Here is a 16,995-nt window from a genome sequence, read left to right as displayed (position 1 = left end):
TGGGTTGCAACCAGCAGCCCTTAACTCACCTCCTATAACAGATACTGACCCTGAGTTTGAAGGTTGCAGCTTTGCCATTTATATGTATAAATGTACATGTGAACTCATCAGCTCCCAATGTAACTTAAATTTGGCATGGAAACTGGGAGAAAATAGGATTGAATTAAATTTTTCCACCAAAAGGCTATGTTGTGACTGTTCAATACTAATTCCATTATAATTACAATTAACCTTATAATTAAGATTTTCTAGTCATCTACCTCATAAATCCAGCTTATTTCTAGTTTCTGGTTCTGTGTGTTCACTTGGCCTAAAATATTCTTCCTTAAGTTTCTACCTGTATCCAAATCTTTCACATCTTCTCCAGGAAATCTTCCCTGACTGATGCCAACTGTTGTCATCTCCTCACTATCTCCTGTCACTTGCTTTAGATGAAATGTTAGCCAAGCAGGGTATTTAAGAGCTTAAATTCTGTGGTCACGTTCAACCCAAGTTTGAATCCTGGCATAGGGGCCTAGTAAAACAAATCCATTGAACAAATTAATTATTGGGGGCCAGACACTATTGTAGGTGCTGCAGTATAGCAGTGAGCAAGACAGACAAGGAACCTATTCTCCCTGAGCTCATGTTGAGGCATGGGAAGACAATGAAAAATATTATCTAGTGTGGTAGGTTCTGTAAAGGGAGTAAGCAAAGTCATGTAATACAGGTTAATTAGGGGCTCCTATCTGAGTGGGAACAGGGGTCAGGAAAAGCCTTCATGAGGGGATGATATTTGAGTTGAGACCTCAAGATTGAGAAGGAGTCAGCCATGCTAGATGAGGGAAAAAATGTATTCCAGCCAGAGGGAAAAAGCAAGTACCAATATTCTGAGTAGGAAATAACATTTAAGAAGTAGAAAGAAGGCCAGTGGTGGGCGGGGGCTGGGGGGAAAAAGCAGTGCTTGATAACATTGTAGACTATTAAAAGAGAATTGGATTTCATGCTAAGATTGTGATAAAAACTGTTGACTTTAATTGTCACACCAATTTTTAGAAAGTTGAATTGGATCTAAATATTTTAAAGTTATAAAATATCACATAAATTGCCACTATATAATGTATGTACATATATGAGTTATGCATTAAGAACTCCTTATAAAAAACAATTGTGTTGACTTACAATTTTCTTATCCACTCCAGTTGAACACAAATATCCTGGGTCATGACTGGAGTAAGAAGAGTGAAGATTCCCTCGATGCCACACCATGTCACAGAGGCACCAAGAGAGTGAGCTTCTGCCTTTCCTACTTCCATATTCTCCTTTACACAATGATGTTGATAAGAGGAGTAAGTGGGGAAACATAGATTTTTGAGCCTGAAGCACAGGGAAGATGTCTAGACTTTTACTGAAAATTTGAGCATCATCAACGTATAGATGTTTGTAAGTCAAGGCAATGAGATTACCTAAGGAGACAGTACACATAGAAGAGCAAAGAGCCCCAGAGGAAGCCCTGGTCAGGCCAACATTTAACAGTGAGTTTAGATGGAGGAACAGGTGTGATCAAAGACTAATTAAGTTTAGTAAGTAACAGAAAAATCAGAAGCCAAAAGAAAAAAAAATATTTAAAGGAGGAGTACACGATAAACTGTGAGGATGAGTAGCATGAAAACTAAGACATGTTTGCTGGGTTTGGCCACATGAAAAGACTTGTAGACCTTGACGAGTACAATTTTGATGGAAAGGTAGAGATAAGTCATTGGAGTAGGTGAAGGAATTAGTTAGAAACGAGGACGTGGAGACAGGATATAGTCAACCTGTGGGAGGGATTTTGCAGTGAAGTTTGCTGTGAAGCAGCATGGGGAAATGGAGTGGTGGCTATAAACAGATAAAGGGTATGTGGACTTTTAAAAGTTTATATTAATGATTAAATATGCATCTTTGTTAAAAATTTTGTATCAGTTTTCTCATCTGTAAAAGAGGCAAATTTAACAATGATGCTTCAAATGGTTGCAATGAAAATGAAGAGTTATTGCGAGTAAAGGACTAACACCATACTTGGTGCTTTATATGTTCTAAGTGGTCATTATTATCACCAGGTACTGTAGAATTCCTTAACACTCAGCATATTTACTCAAATTATTTTTCTTTTTCGCTCTTTACTGCCTCAGATATAAGAAGTTATCTTTAAGTAAGGTGCTATGGAAGTGGAGTTCGAGGACAAGAATGAACAGTTAAGTTGTTAATAGAATTAAATCATTATTCAACCATGTGTCCTAAACTCTGCGTTAGGCATTTTGACTATGTATATGTAGAAGTATGACTTAGTACAGTCCCTTCCCTTTATTAGTACACAGAGCTCAGGAGTCCCCAAGACCACCTTTACTTCTCACATGTACTGTGAGATCAGGGATCCAAGACTACCCTCAGGTTAGATAATTCTCTAAAGGGACTCACAGATCTTGGAAAGCTGTTACACACATGGTTACAGTTCATTACAGTGAAAAGATACAGATTAAAATCAGCAGAAGAAAGAGGCACACAAGGCAGGGCTCAGGAGACCTTAAGGCACAGGGCTTCCAGTTATCCTCTCCCAGTGAAGGCATGTGTGCAGTACCTATTTCTCTAGGAACATTGTGTGAAAATACACATGGAATATTGCCCACTGGGAAGCTCATTTGAGCTTTGGTGTCTGGAGTTTTGATTGCAATCCAGTCACCCAGCCACTATTCATATGGCTAATCTTAGTTTCCAGCACTTCCAGAGGTCAATCTGACACCTTGTAGTCTGAGGTACCTATGGCTTCAGACCCCAAGTAAACAAAGATGTTCTAATCAGGCAGGATACTCCACGGGCTTAGAGGTTACCTCCCAGGGGCCAACTGCAAAGGCCAGACCTCTCTTTGGCAAGGTTTATCCTTCATGGTACAATTTATAATGGTTGCGGAGATAATATACAAAGACATAAAACCTACATACAATATATGATTTAACTAATGATTCAAGTCAGTAAACAGTGTCATAATGTCAGAGGCATTTGAACCACAGCAACTCCATCTTGAATAGGGGCTGGATAAAATAAGGCTGAGACCTACTGGGCTGCATTCCCAGATGGTTAATGCATTCTAAGTCACAGGATGAGTTAGGAGGTTGGCACAAGATACACGTCATAAAGACCTTGCTGATAATACAGGTGGCAGTAAAGGAGCAAACTAAAACCCACCAAAACCAAGATGGCGGCGAGAGTGACCTTTGGTCGTCCTCCATGCTACACTCCCACCAGAACCATGACAGTTTACAAATGAAATGGCAACATCAGGAACTTACCGTATATGGTCTAAAAAGGTGAGGCATGAATAATCTACCACTTATTTAGCATATCATCAAGAAATAACCATAAAAATGGGCAACCAGCCCCTCTCAGGTCTGCTGTCTACGCAGTAGCCATCCTTTAATTCCTTTACTTTCCTAATAAACTTGCTTTCACTTTACTTTATAGACTTGCCCTGAATTCTTTCTTGCCTGAGATTCAAGAACCCTGTCTTGGGGTCTGAATTGGGACCCCTTTCCTGTAACAATAATGCTAGGATATGTTTACATAATAAATAGCTTATTCAAATAGTACTCACTGTAGCTATTCAGAGAAAGACAAGAGTTGGAGCTAAGGGTTGGGTAAAAAAAGGAATTCTAGAAAAACAGCTGTATGAATTGGACCTTGAAAGAGTACCTGGATTTGAAAACATTACCTGAGAGAAAGGTGAATTATTGGGGTTCAGGTCAATTCTGGGCAGGATCTCATCAGAGTCAGAATGTGGTCACAAAGTCCTTCATAGTGGACAGAGGAAAACTAGGAATGTGGTTGATGAGATGAGGGGAAAAAAAAGAATAGTGACATGAAAGAAAATCTTTGCCTAAATAACAACTTTATATAAAGCTAGCTTTGTGCCTCAGAAGGGAGAATTTCCTGTCTGCTTCCCTTCTGCCAGCTGCCAGCATTCACACAGTTGGTATTGATGGTTAGGTTTCTGTGGGCTAATCTGGGATTGTAATTGCCATTTATAATTCCAATTCCAGAGGTAAAAACTTCTTTTTTGTTTAAAGAGTGCCTTTTAGAGAAATTTGGGGAACATACATGTTTTGTTTCATTTTGGGTATTTACTTCTTAATAACTGAGCTTGGGCCGTGAGGAAGGAGAATAGCATCAATGTTATCTGCACTAACCTCTAATAATTTTGCAAAATTTTGGAGTGAATTTCTAGGCATTTTGAGAATATGCAACTTACTTCTAGCTATTTAGTATTTCTTAACAATAGCAATATTTATGAATTAATATTTGGAAACTATTACCTGAAAAAGATGTAGATGTTGCTTCCAGGTACATGGTGAAAGTGCCTTATACAGGTTGAATAAAAATCACTGCCATTTTCAGAATATTGATGGCACTGAAAAGAAAACACAGGGTATTTGAACTCTGGAAAGTTTGGGAAAAACTCAAAAAATTTCCATCTGTGCTTCAGAAGGAACAATGTTAACTGACCTGGAAAGATAAACTGGATTACATAAGAAAATACATTCAGTTTCTTAATATTGTTATATAATTGATCAAGTTCTGGAACTTCAGTGATTTTTTCCTATTCAATTGAATTTTTCCCATTCTTCTGAAGGAATTGAATGTAAAGCAAATGAGAAAGGCAACTTTGCAAAACCGCTATCTTCATCATAAATGTATTACATTCCTCTAATAAGAACCTGCTCTCACCCAGCAGAGGATTCCAGATGATTCTTTTTTTCTCAGGGAAAAGAGAAAAATCTGATATGCATTCAAAACCTGTGATGTCCTACTTATTAGATAACTTATTACATTAGCGTTTGATTAGTTTGAACTCCCAATTTCTAGCCTAGAGTAAGAAAAAGGTCAACTAGAATTGTATTTAAAAGAAGATGTGTTTATCATTGTTATAATCAACACTGTTCCAGTATTGTAAGGCTAATCAGTAAAATTGCCAGTGTTCCTTCTTCACATTTGATGATTTCCTGTGTTTCAGTTTTGAACATTTAATATGCCAAATATACTGAGGTTTTCACTAATAAAGTTCACTCAAGCGGAGTCAGCACCAATTTATATCTATGACGGGGGCTATACTTTTACAAGGAAATGACATATCCAGAAGTTGTAGAGTCACTGGGGCATGGTAGAAGCTCAAATTCTGATCCTCTACTTTTCTGGGCAGAGTGACCTTGGGAAAAGAACTTCTTAATCTACACAACGTAGCACTGTTGTTAAAACTTGGCAAAATATTTTCTAAAACATAACTACCACATAGTGATCATGTAATCATGTAACAAATGTATTTTCTATTCCCCTCTTTCCAATACCTGAGCACCACTCTCAAATGAAAATATCAGCTGCCATGGGCATCACAAACATTCTGAAGAATACAGTTTTTCCAGCATTGGTTAGCATCTGTTGCAAAGGTAATGAGGGGGCCCATAGCGAAAGTTCTCAATGGATCAGCAGCAGCAATAAAATGATAGAAAAAGAAATTGTTACTTGATCTTTTATGATTTAATGCACAGATTAAAAAATAAACAAACTGATATTTACTGAGGGCACACACAGTCTTGACACTTTTATCTCCCTCATTTAATTTTTATGTGAAATCCAAAGGGATGTAGGCATTATAGTAGAGTAGGAACAACACTGGGTTTGAGCTCTGGCTCAGCCACTTGCTATCTATGTGTCATTGAGCAAATTATTAAACTTTTTAAGCTCCACATTTTCACCTAAAAATGGACATAATAATGGTATCCACTTCACAGAGTTGTTTAAGGATTATTTGTAATAATGCCTATAAAACACAATACAGTTCCTGGCATATAATTATAAATGTATTGTTAGTTGTAATAAGACACTGCAGTCTCAAAGTGTTTCACAAAGTTTGAATTAATGACTTCTTGCCTCAGAATCCCTGGAGATCTTGTTAAATAAGAAGACTCCTGGGCCCAGCTCCAGATCTAATGAATCAGAATACCTGGGCAGTGCTGGAGTTGAAGAGTTTCCTTTTTAAGAAGCTGTCCAGGTGCAGCTGAAAACAGCTACTGATGCTATCCATGATCCATTCACTCCTCTCCTGGTAACTATACTTTGATTTCCATCTGGGGGAATTATTCTTCTGGTTCCAACCATTTTTGCTTTTGGCAGAGCATCTGACCTGTCACTGGTGCCCTTGTTGTCATTTCCCTGGCCACAGAGACTGGGTTCACTCTGTCCCAAGCAAAGATGATGTAATGTAGATAAGCTTTTGCTAGAATGGTAGGACAAAGGCGAGTCCTCTCTCCTACTGGATGAGGATGTGCTTCTGGGCATGATAGAAGCCATCTGTGACCATGAGGTAGGGTGGCTATCTGAGAGTGAAGCCAGAAGAAGCAGAGCCGAAAGATGGAAAGACAGAAGCCTCTCAGGCTGATGGTGTCAACTGAAACCTTGACCTAGCTACACCTAAAGCCAGACTGATTCCTGAAGCTTTTGATTATGGAGCCAATGCATTCTTTTTGGTTAGAACATTTTGGATATGTTTCTTTTTGTTACATGTGACCAAAGCCTAAAAAATCAGATAACCCATGTTCAATTTCTTTGTTAAATGCACACTAGCTGGGTCTTCAGTCCATACCCATCCCTGACTTGACACACTGGGCATTTTCAGATTCCTTCTGCCGAGGCTGAAGCAGGCTAAGCAGACTCCTAGATTTCTCACCTCTAAGATGGTACCTGAATCTTAGCTTACTAGGACACAAAAAATAAGTCCAAGAAAGTCCCTTTCTAACTTTGATGCTTTGGCTAAAACTCAGTTCTGCTAGTTAGAGGTTACAAATTCCAATCTTTAAAGGGGGCACAGCAGGAAAAATGAATACGTAAAACAGGCTGGGAGTTGGAAATATGCCCCTTGCTTCTTAAGTCCAAGGAAAACATCAAGGCAAATCTGAAATTAAATGCCCAGTCTCAGTGTTAACAAGGCAACAGGGAGTGGAGATACTAGAGTATTGGAGAGCTCTTGCCTCCTTTAAAGGCAGCAGGGGTTATTTAGCTTCAGCCAAAAGTCACCATGTGGGAATTCAGTCCCAGATTACCAGAGTTATCAGGCATCTTGAATTTTATATTAAATCTCTTGAATTTTAAATAGTAACAGCTAATTCAAAATGTAAAAACATTCTATGTAAGCTGACACAGTGAGGGCCAAACATAACACACATGAAGCAGCCTAGGATCTCCTGTGTAGACCTTCCAAGAGGTGGCAGAAGACAGTGTTATCTGAAGAAAAAGGCTTTCACAATTAGGAGATTATCCCAGTTCCATCTACAGACACATGGGAGAGAAAAAAGAGAAAATATCCATAATTTGAACATGTCAGGCAAGGAGAAATGTATTCACTCCATCTACAGGCTAGCTTGGCAACTGGCATTAGGGAGTCCTAGGAGTTCATTGTACTTTTTTTTTTTTTTGTGGCGGAGTCTCATTCTATCGCCCAGGCTGCACTGGAGTGCAGTGGCATGATGTTGGCTCACTGCAACCTCTGCCGGATTCAAGCAATTCTCCTGCCTCAGTCTCCTGAGTAACTGGGATTACAGGCGCCTGCCGCTGTGTCTGGCTAATTTTTGTAATTTTAGTAGAGACGGGGTTTCACCATTTTGGCCAGGCTGGTCTTGAACTCCTGACACCGTGATCCACCTGCCTCAGCTTCCCAAAGTGCTGGGATTACAGGCATGAGCCACCATGCCCAGCCCATTGTACTCTTAACTCATGTAAGATTTTCTTCCTCTCAGGGGGCAGGAAGCCTTTATCTCCTTCTAGAAGTTAGATCATGTTGCTAATAGTCTCTGCTCACTTGTTTTTTTACTTTTCCCTTTGTAGAGCTGGTATAAAGTTTCAATTTTTTTTTTCTTTCCAGGAGATGTAATTGGCCAGAAATCTGGCCCCAGGCAACTACTGCATTAACTTTATAATGAAGAGCTCATTTGGTTAACAAATTATGTTTCTATACACTTTTAACATAGACTTATCTAAACCATGGTAATCTCCTCCTACTCAACACATATTCATTTCACTTTTAGATATCCAGATATCTGGGTAAGGCACAGAGAGCCAACGACAAAAAGGTTTTTAAAGTTAAGTCTTTCCAGTTTATTTCTATGAGATGGGGGAGCCTGTGATAATTGAATCCATATGGCCTTCTCCTTCTTAACATTTGTACATAGGTAGAAGCATGCTAAATGAACATCCAACGTAGTCAAGAAAAGAAAAAGGAGATCCCAAGAGGGATATTATGAAAGCTTTGGGGAGTGAGGAGGTGGTCTCCTATTTTGCCTTCACACTAATAAGGAAGGATAAAGAGGTAGCTCATGGCTGCCCAGTTCCCAATAGCCCATTTCCACGCTATCCACCTCAGCCCTTTCCACATACACAAAAATATTCACAGCTCTAGGCTACTCCTTTAATTTCTAATTTTTGGGCTATTGTTCTAATTCCCTTTATTCCAGCAAAATCAGGAGAATTGGGTAACCAACAGAGGCTATTGCTCAGATGATCAGAGAAGGCACCTGTCGCAGGAATAAATGTCTGCTATTTTCTTGACTAGTTAATGGACTACTTAGAAAAAAAATCTCAACGTAAACTGAAGGTGTAAGGAAGATGAGACTGAATCCAACATAACAGTTTATCTTATTGAACAAATGGATATGAAATCCATAATATCTGTTGACTAATATCTGGTTCTCCTTTCATTTCTAGTACATGAGAGACTGTACTTGCAGTTAAGCAGGGCCATGTGACTAGTTCTGAGCAATGGAATACAGTACAGAGTAATAAAGTATGAAGCCTTTATGTACTTTCTTCTCTTGAAAGAAGACCACATATCTCAGGGAGTACAAGCCTGGTTGGTGGAGCCACCATAACCCTAGGATCCTGAGTGTCCAAATGAACCAGCCTAAAGCTGACAAAAAATGAACACATTTCACTGGAGAAGAAAAAATAAGCTTCAGTTGTGTTAAGACTTCAAGACTTCAGAGTGATTTTTAAAATTGTGCCATAGCACAATTTACCCTGCTTAATAAAAAAAGATGCTGAGAGGCAAGGAGATTGCTTTGTTTCTGGAGCTTGGGGAAAGAAATTAAAAGTGGGGAAGCAGCTAGCTAGTGGTAAATTTTTCTGTCTTCCTTCTGTCCTCCTGCTTTTCTTTAATTCTTGTTCTACACGCGAAAAATGCACCCATTCTGTCAATTTTCAATTCTATATTCACACATATGCCAACTTTATAAAATGAAAATAACTGGTGAAATATATAAAGTACACAGCTTAGTCTTGCACACAATTTAAGTTGAAAATTTATGTATTTAAATGCATTCATGGAGAGAGGCATTAGCATGAAAAGCAGATGAGAAGGTGGTTTTCAGTTCTAGTTGGTTTTCAATTCTCCTCGTGAACTTTTCTAAACATCTTTTTGCTAGCACATACCTACCTCCTTATTCCAAAGATTTCCAGAATCCTGGGGGTGTTTTCTACCCTGTTAAAATCTATATCCAGAGAACACAGAATTAAAGTCATTCACACATTTTCTGTGTGGCAGGTGCTGTGGCTGTATCTACACTCAAGGGAGCTCTCAGGTTCGTGGGAAAGCTAACATACAAATAAATCCTTCATGTGAAGAGTGTTGCAGCAGACATCAGCACAAGGGCAGGGACTGGGAGAAGCAAGAATGTAGGTGGTGGTGGTCTTGGGATGTCAAGAAAAGATTTACTGAAGACATGGCAACTTGCTCTTTAGGAAATTACTCTAGTGACATAATAGTAGTTGTCTATAATGGAGACGGTTGGGACTGGAGGCAGACAACAACATTAAGCAGGAGGCAATGTAGTAATAACCAACAGTTAGCAAGAAGGATGAAGAAGAAGGGACTTGTGGCAGAGGTATTAAGAGGCAGACAGTAATTTGGATTTGATGAGAAAATAAGAGGGAGGAGTCTAAGAATATTGTACACTGGGTTCAGGGATTTTTTTCCTACAGTGGGCAGCTAGTATTTTAGACTTTGTGGGCCATGTATAGTCTGGTGTTTTTTGGTAATCTTTCTTCTGTTTTTTTGTTGTAATCTTTCAAAAATGCAAAAGCCATTCTTAGTTTGAGGCATGGTTATGGTCCTTACGCCCTAGTTTGCCAACTCATGTTCTAGATTAAGACATCCCAAGGGGGATATCTTTAGTCAGATAAGAGAAGGAGAGAAGGTTCAGGCAGGCTGTAAAGAAAACTGAAAAGCATTGCCCAATTCTTCTAACTTGTTCAGTTTTATCACAAATAGAAATGCTCTCTCTCGATAAAGCTGAAATTTTGATACAATGGTCAAATTGCCCTTTATTGTACAATCTGATTTTACAACATATTCTTTGTTTTAGGAAATAAACCTTTGACTCATGATCTTGTAGTGTTTTTATTCTAAGTCCTACATGCCCAGTACATGCTTTTGTTTTGCATTTGTCAGTCTTTGGCTACAAAGTCCTAAATGTTTGGTATTAAGAATATAAGTTTCTATTACAAAGCCATAACTCATTATATATTTTTAATGGTGGTTGCTTTTTGGTTTGATGTATAATATGTGCTCAATGTTATTATTTGAGTCAATTAATGACAATGATAGATATCCATTGAAAAGTAAATTCATGTTCATTTAAAAATCAAACAGCTTTAGAAGACTTAAATGGTCCCAACTTTGGGTGTATATTGAACAATGGGTAGAGATGCTCTTCAATACTATTTGTATTTTTACATTTGGATTAAAAAATGAGGCTAAGACATATTTCTGTTATATTCTAAACAATTTCTAGGGCTTCAATATAAAAAACTGCTTCTTTGTTTTCTGATTATGTATTAAAATGCACTTACAGGGATGCATGCAATTAATTCCTGATCATCTGAAGGTGGATTAACCTGTTTTCAGATGGAGGTAGTTAAGGTACAGCAGGGATTTGGAATCGGGTATCTTCCCCTACAAGGGCATGCAATCAAGCCGTGATTATTTGCCCTGATTATCAGCAACCCAGTGGTTGGAGGACTGGGTTCCAGGTCTGGACGACTCGGTTCCAGGTCTGGACACATGGAATCTGGCATACATCATTCACTCCATCAGCAGTCTTACCCAGAGTTTGGGTTCTCAGCTTCTGCACCTTGAAGAGCTGTCCTTCAACTCCAATCTTCTAATTACCTAATGACTCAGCCTTCCTGGGAGGTAAGATCACCCCAGATATTTGACTAATCTGCAAAGTGGCTAATCTACTGAAAGCTAATGAACAGTCAACTGTGATTTGATCTGAACTGTGCATGGTATTGAGTTATCTGTAGCTTACCTTATTTCCACTCACCCTCCAAAATTCTATCTGATAATCAAACATTAACTATAATTGCATATTGTCCCCCAAATTTCCCTATGCATGTAATTTTGCAGCATTCTAACCAATCCTGTTTTTTCTTCCAAAAGTTTCATTTCTTTTCAGGGATCCTAAGATATAGCCCTATATATTTTAAATATGATACTCATGGGCATATGTAAAAATTGCCCAACTTATAAATTTGGTTTTTGATGTTCAACTCTGAAAAACTGGGCCGAAATTGATGTCTAAACTTAGGGAATAGTTTCCAAATGCTTTGAACTTTTTAGTCTAGCTAATTCTTTGCTCCAAAATGTGTTTACTTGATGGCATCATCCATATCTTTTAAATTTTTACTACATTCTTTAATTCTAATACATCGAGGCCAAACAAGTAAAAAGAAAAAAAGTTTAAGAAAAAAGAACCAAATGAAGAAATATATTACTTTAAATTGAAACCCACAAAGTGCTTTATTCTTTCATTACCAGAAGAAGAGTAATTAACAGAATGGGTTGGTGACAAGGAGATATCAGAAAGACATGGAAAGAAGAAGCAATTTAGGAATCCAAGCAGAAGAAAAGTGAGTGAAGAGAGAAAGAGAAAAAGTGAAAGAAAACCAAGAGGTCTTGCTGGCCTCATTCCAAGCTGCATGCCTTGGCTCTCAACACTTTGAATATAAGAGAAGTGGGAAGAATATTAACATTTGTAGGAAGGTTGGAGGCAGAGCACACACAAAATCCTGACATGTTTCTGAATGAAAGCTGTGGGCGTGAAAGCAAAGTGAGCTTTGTTCTCAGTTATTTTTTTTCAAGAGAGTCTCATTCTGTCACTTAGGTTATAGTGTTATAATAGTAGCGTGATAATAGCTCATTGCAGCCTTGAACTCCTGGGTTTGAGTGATACTCCCACCTCAGCCTCCTGAGTGGCTGGAATTTTAGGAAGCCACGACGTCTGGTTCTCCTAGGTATTTCTATGAGTCACACTTTATATCTTCTCCTTATGTCTCTGGTAGGAGACTCAAGGTAAATCTTGGAGAATGCATTTACCTAGTTAGAAAACATAGCTATCAGTTTGTATGTGCCATGTTATCTCTGGTACCATATTGCTAAATCAGATTGCTCAGGGAGCCTGGTTTACATTTGGAAAATATATTAGTCTGTTTTCATGCTGCTGGTGAAGACATACCCAAGACTAAGTAATTTATAAAGAAAAAGAGGTTTCATGAACTCACAGTTCCACATGGCTGGTGAAGCCTCACAATCATGGCAGAAGGCAAAAGGCATGTCTTATACAGCAGCAGGCAAACAGAGAATGAGAGCCAAGTGAAAGGGGTTTCCCCTTATAAAACCATCAGGTCTCATGAGGCTTATTCACTACCAGGAGGACAGTATGGGGGAAACCACCCCCATTATTCAATTATCTCCCACCAGGTCCCTCCCACAACACGTGGGAATTATGGGAGCTACAATTAAAGATGAGATTTAGGTGGGGACGCAGCCAAACCATATGAGAATACACCTAGCTCCCTTGTTTCCTCTTAAACATTTTGTTTTCCTCCTCAGTCCCTTAAATTTAAATATTTGAACAATACAACAAAATTAAAGTGACTGAGACAAGGTAGATAATCAATAAATATAATTCCCCCTGCTTCTGTTCCTTTATCCCCTTTTCTGGAACCTTACACTTGCAAGCTTTATCGTGGATGCCCAGATCTCCAAGGGTGCTATTCTGCAGGGTTTGGGGATTGCAACACAATAGAGGTCTCCACTTATTTCCTCCTCACCCTCAGAACTTGCATGGCTCTGGTAGTCATTAAAAATGTTCAGACATTCTACTTCTCTGCCTCCCAGGTATATCTGTCTCCTTGTGGTTGAATAAGTTCACATGACTGATTCTGGTCACTGAGTTGGGAGTATAAGTAAGGATTATCTCTTCTAGGCCAAGGTGTTGAATTACTAGTGCAAGATTCTTTAGGGTACTTTTGTTCTAGGCTCTAGTGTCCAACAATATTTGAGATAGTGGCTACCCTACTAGCCTGGATTCCTAGCCTGTGAAGAGATACATAGAAGAGACCCAGCTCACCTGCAAAGGACATGGAATGAAAGTGAGAGATAAACCATTGTTTTCAGAAGCCAATAAATTTGGGGGACATATTTTCCTTTAGCATAGCTGAGTTATAGCCTGAATAATGCATTGTCTCATACTTCACCCCCCTCATTAGGATAAGTTAAAATTTAGACTCGTTGAAGGCAAAGACTTTATCTATGCTGTGATGTTCTTTTATGTATACTCAGTGCCTGTGCAGAGCCTAGAGCATGGGGCAATAATCACTCAATAAATATTTGTTTACTCTAAAAATAAATGAAACACTCTACTGTTGTCATGGTGACAATAAGAGGTTAACAAATGTGGTTATTCATGCACATGAATTACAACCCTATTAGCTAAATAAGTCATAGGTTTTTGTTCCCAATACTACTTAATGGTGATTACAGATACATTGGAGGGCTGGCTGGAGATGATTCCAGTTAGATCAGTTTTCTGGGCTCTTTCAGAAAATGTCACTTGGGCAGCTACCTGAATGGCCTCATGAATAGAAAGGCTCTAAATCTACTTAAGACTAGGTATGAGTTATTGAGAGGGCTAATTGATACAACTGAGAGGACAAGAGAAAGAGCCAGAGAGTGCCTTGACAACTGTGTTAATAAGCCTAGCTTATCAACCTATCACCCTATATGTAGTTAAATCTCAGAACAACTTAACTATAACTTAGTTGAATTTTTGGAGAGATTCTAGCTGTGAATTATAAAGGACATTTCTTTTTTTAAAAAAAGAAAAAGGAAATAAAATTTTGCTTAATAGTAAACAAAATAGGTTTATTTATCTTGTCACTTTGGAATTTACTTCTTCTAAATAATTCCTAAAAAGCTTGCAAATAGGAAGATTTTATAGAATGACACCCTGCTCTGTGATTATATTCCCTGAGTACTAAAAGCAGTTCATAACAAAAGTATCAACATCTTCTGTTAAGAACTGTGTTGGCAATTCTGTGGCACGCTGGTGCCCAAAGAGGGAAGCTAAAAATATGGGTGAACGTTTCTCAGAGGCTGATTCAGGTTGTAAGAGCTGGATCCTGAGACTCATCCAATTACAACATAGAAAGGTCCTGTCAAATGAGCTTCAGCCAGGCCATCTAGGGTGGGTGAGGGTAGCATTAATGCATAGGGGCAATAATCAGTGCTTAAACAGGTAGGTGGTGATGTTGGGTGTTAAGTAGTGCCTTGCTTTGTATCTAAACAGCGACCCTGGGTTTGTCATAAATAGCTCTTATTATTTTGAAGTATGTTTCTTCAATTCCTAGTTTACTGAGAGCTTTTAACATAAAGGGATGTTGAATTTTGTCAAAAGCCTTTCTGAAGCTATTGAGATAATCATGTGGTTTTTGTATTTAGTTATATTTGTGTGATGAATCACACTTACTGATTTGCATATTTTGAACCAACCCTGCATCCTGGCGATGAAGCCTACTTGATGGTGGTAGATTCAATTTTGACGGGCTGCTAGATTGTTTGCCAGTATTTTGTTGGGGATTTTTGCATCAATGTTCATCAAGTATATTGGCCTGAAGTTTTCATTTATTGTTGTGTCTCTGCCAAAATTTGGTATCAGCATGGTGCTGGCCTCATAGAATGAGTTGGGGAGTCCCTCTTCCTCATTTTTTTGGAATAGTATTAGTAGAAATGGTACCAGCTCTTCTTTGTATGTTTGGTAGGATTCAGCTGTGAATCCAGCTGGTCATGGGATTTTTTTGGTTAGTAGGTATATTAGTTTGTTTTCATACTGCTGATAAAGACATACCCGAGACTGAGGAAAGAGGTTTAATTGGACTTACAGTTCTACATGGCTGGGGAAGCCTTATAATGATGGCAGAAGATGAAAGGCTCATCTCACATGGCGCAGACAAGAGAAGAGGGCTTGTGCAGAAAAACTCCCCCTTATAATAACCATCAGATCTCGTGAGACTTACTATCGCGAGTACCGCATGGGAAAGACCTGCCCCCATGATTCAAATACCTCCCACTGGGCCCATCCCACAACACGTGGGAATTCAAAATGAGATTTGTGTGGGGACACAGCCAAACCATATCAGTAGGCTATGTATTATTGATTCACTTTTGGAGCTCATTATTGGTCTATTCATGGAATCAATTTCTTCCTGGTTCAGTCTTGGGAGGGTATATGTGTCCAAGACTTTAGCCATCTCTTGTAGTTCTCCTAGCTTGTGTGCATAGCCACAGCCAATATTATACTGAATGGGGAAAAGCTAGAAGCATTCCTCTTGAAAACTGGCACATGACAATGATACCCTCTCTCACCACTCCTATTCAAGATAGTATTGGAAGTCCTGGAAAGGGCAATCAGGCAAGAAAAAGAAATAAAGTGCATCCACATAGGAAGAGAGAAAGTCAAACTATCACTATTTGCAGACAACATGATTCTATATATAGACAACCCCATAGTCTTGGCCCAAAAGTTCCTTCAACTGATAAACAACTTCAGCAATGTTTCAGGATACAGAATCAATGTACAAAAGTTACTAGCATTCCTATTCACCAACAACAGCCAAGCCGAGAGCCAAATCAGGAATGCAGTCCCATTCACAATTGCCACAAAAAAACATAAAATACCTAGGAATACAGCTAACCAGGGATGTAAAAGTTCTCTACAATGAGAACTACAAACCACTGCTTAATGAAATCAGAGATGACACAAACAAATGGAAAAACATTCCATGCTCATGGATAGGAAGAATCAATATCATTAAAATAACCATACTGCCAAAAGTAATTTACAGATTCAATGCTATTCCTATCAAACTACCAATAACGTTCTTCAGAGAACTAGAAAAAAACTATTTTAAGATGCACATAGAAACAAAAAAGAGCCCTAATAGCCAAGGCAATCCTAAGCAAAAACAACAAAGGTGGAGGCATCACTTTACCTGGCTTCAAAATATACTACAGAGCTACAGTAACCAAAACAGCATGGTACTGGTACAAAAACAAACACATAGATCATGGAGTAGATTAGAGAGCCCAGAAATAAGGGCATACTCCTACAACCATCTGATCTTCAACAAAGCTGACAAAAAAAAAAATGTTGCTGAGATAACTGGCTAGCCACACGCAGAGGATTGAAACTGATCCCCTTCTTACACCATATACAAAAATCAACTCAAGACGGATTAAAGATTTAAATGTAAAACCAAAAACTATAAAAACCCTGGAAGACAACCTAGGCAATACCATTTTGGACATAGGATGCACAAAGATTTTTTGACAAAGTTGCCAAAAGCAACTGGAACAAAAGCAAAACTTGACAAATGGGATATAAGTAAACCTAAGAGCTTCTGCACAGAAAAAAGAAAACATTAACAGAGTAAACAGACAACCTACAGAATGGGAGAAAATATTTGCAAACAATGCATCTGAAAAGGTTTAATATCCACAATCTATCAGAAACTTAAATTTACAAGAAAAAAAACAACCCCATTAAAAAGTGGGCAAAGGACATGAACGGACACATTTCAAAAATAAAAAAAAAACAA

The 16,995-nt window shown here is 38.5% G+C and overlaps 2 long non-coding RNA genes across 8 annotated transcripts in view; one reads left to right on the top strand and one right to left on the bottom strand.

Annotated features, from left to right (window-relative positions):
- Positions 1 to 16,995, bottom strand: part of SCHLAP1 (SWI/SNF complex antagonist associated with prostate cancer 1) — a 224,836-nt gene that overhangs the window by 187,924 nt on the left and 19,917 nt on the right. For 4 of the 7 annotated variants that reach the window (NR_104323.1, NR_104319.1, NR_104320.1 and 1 more), the window contains exon 2: positions 4,326 to 4,420. This is a non-coding gene — a long non-coding RNA (SWI/SNF complex antagonist associated with prostate cancer 1). Of the gene's footprint in view, positions 1 to 3,724; positions 3,826 to 4,325; positions 4,421 to 16,995 lie in introns of all 7 variants that reach the window. The other 3 variants (NR_104322.1, NR_104325.1, NR_104324.1) reach the window with 1 other exon arrangement.
- On the top strand, positions 5,367 to 9,049 carry LOC105373771 (uncharacterized). Its single transcript, XR_923638.3, has 3 exons — positions 5,367 to 5,453; positions 5,943 to 6,112; positions 8,764 to 9,049. It is a non-coding gene; the product is annotated as an uncharacterized LOC105373771 (long non-coding RNA).

This window comes from Homo sapiens, chromosome 2 (assembly GCF_000001405.40).
Source record: "Homo sapiens chromosome 2, GRCh38.p14 Primary Assembly".
NCBI lineage: Eukaryota > Metazoa > Chordata > Mammalia > Primates > Hominidae > Homo > Homo sapiens.
Note: the sequence above shows the minus strand (reverse complement) of the source record. Positions and strands in the feature narration are given on the sequence as shown.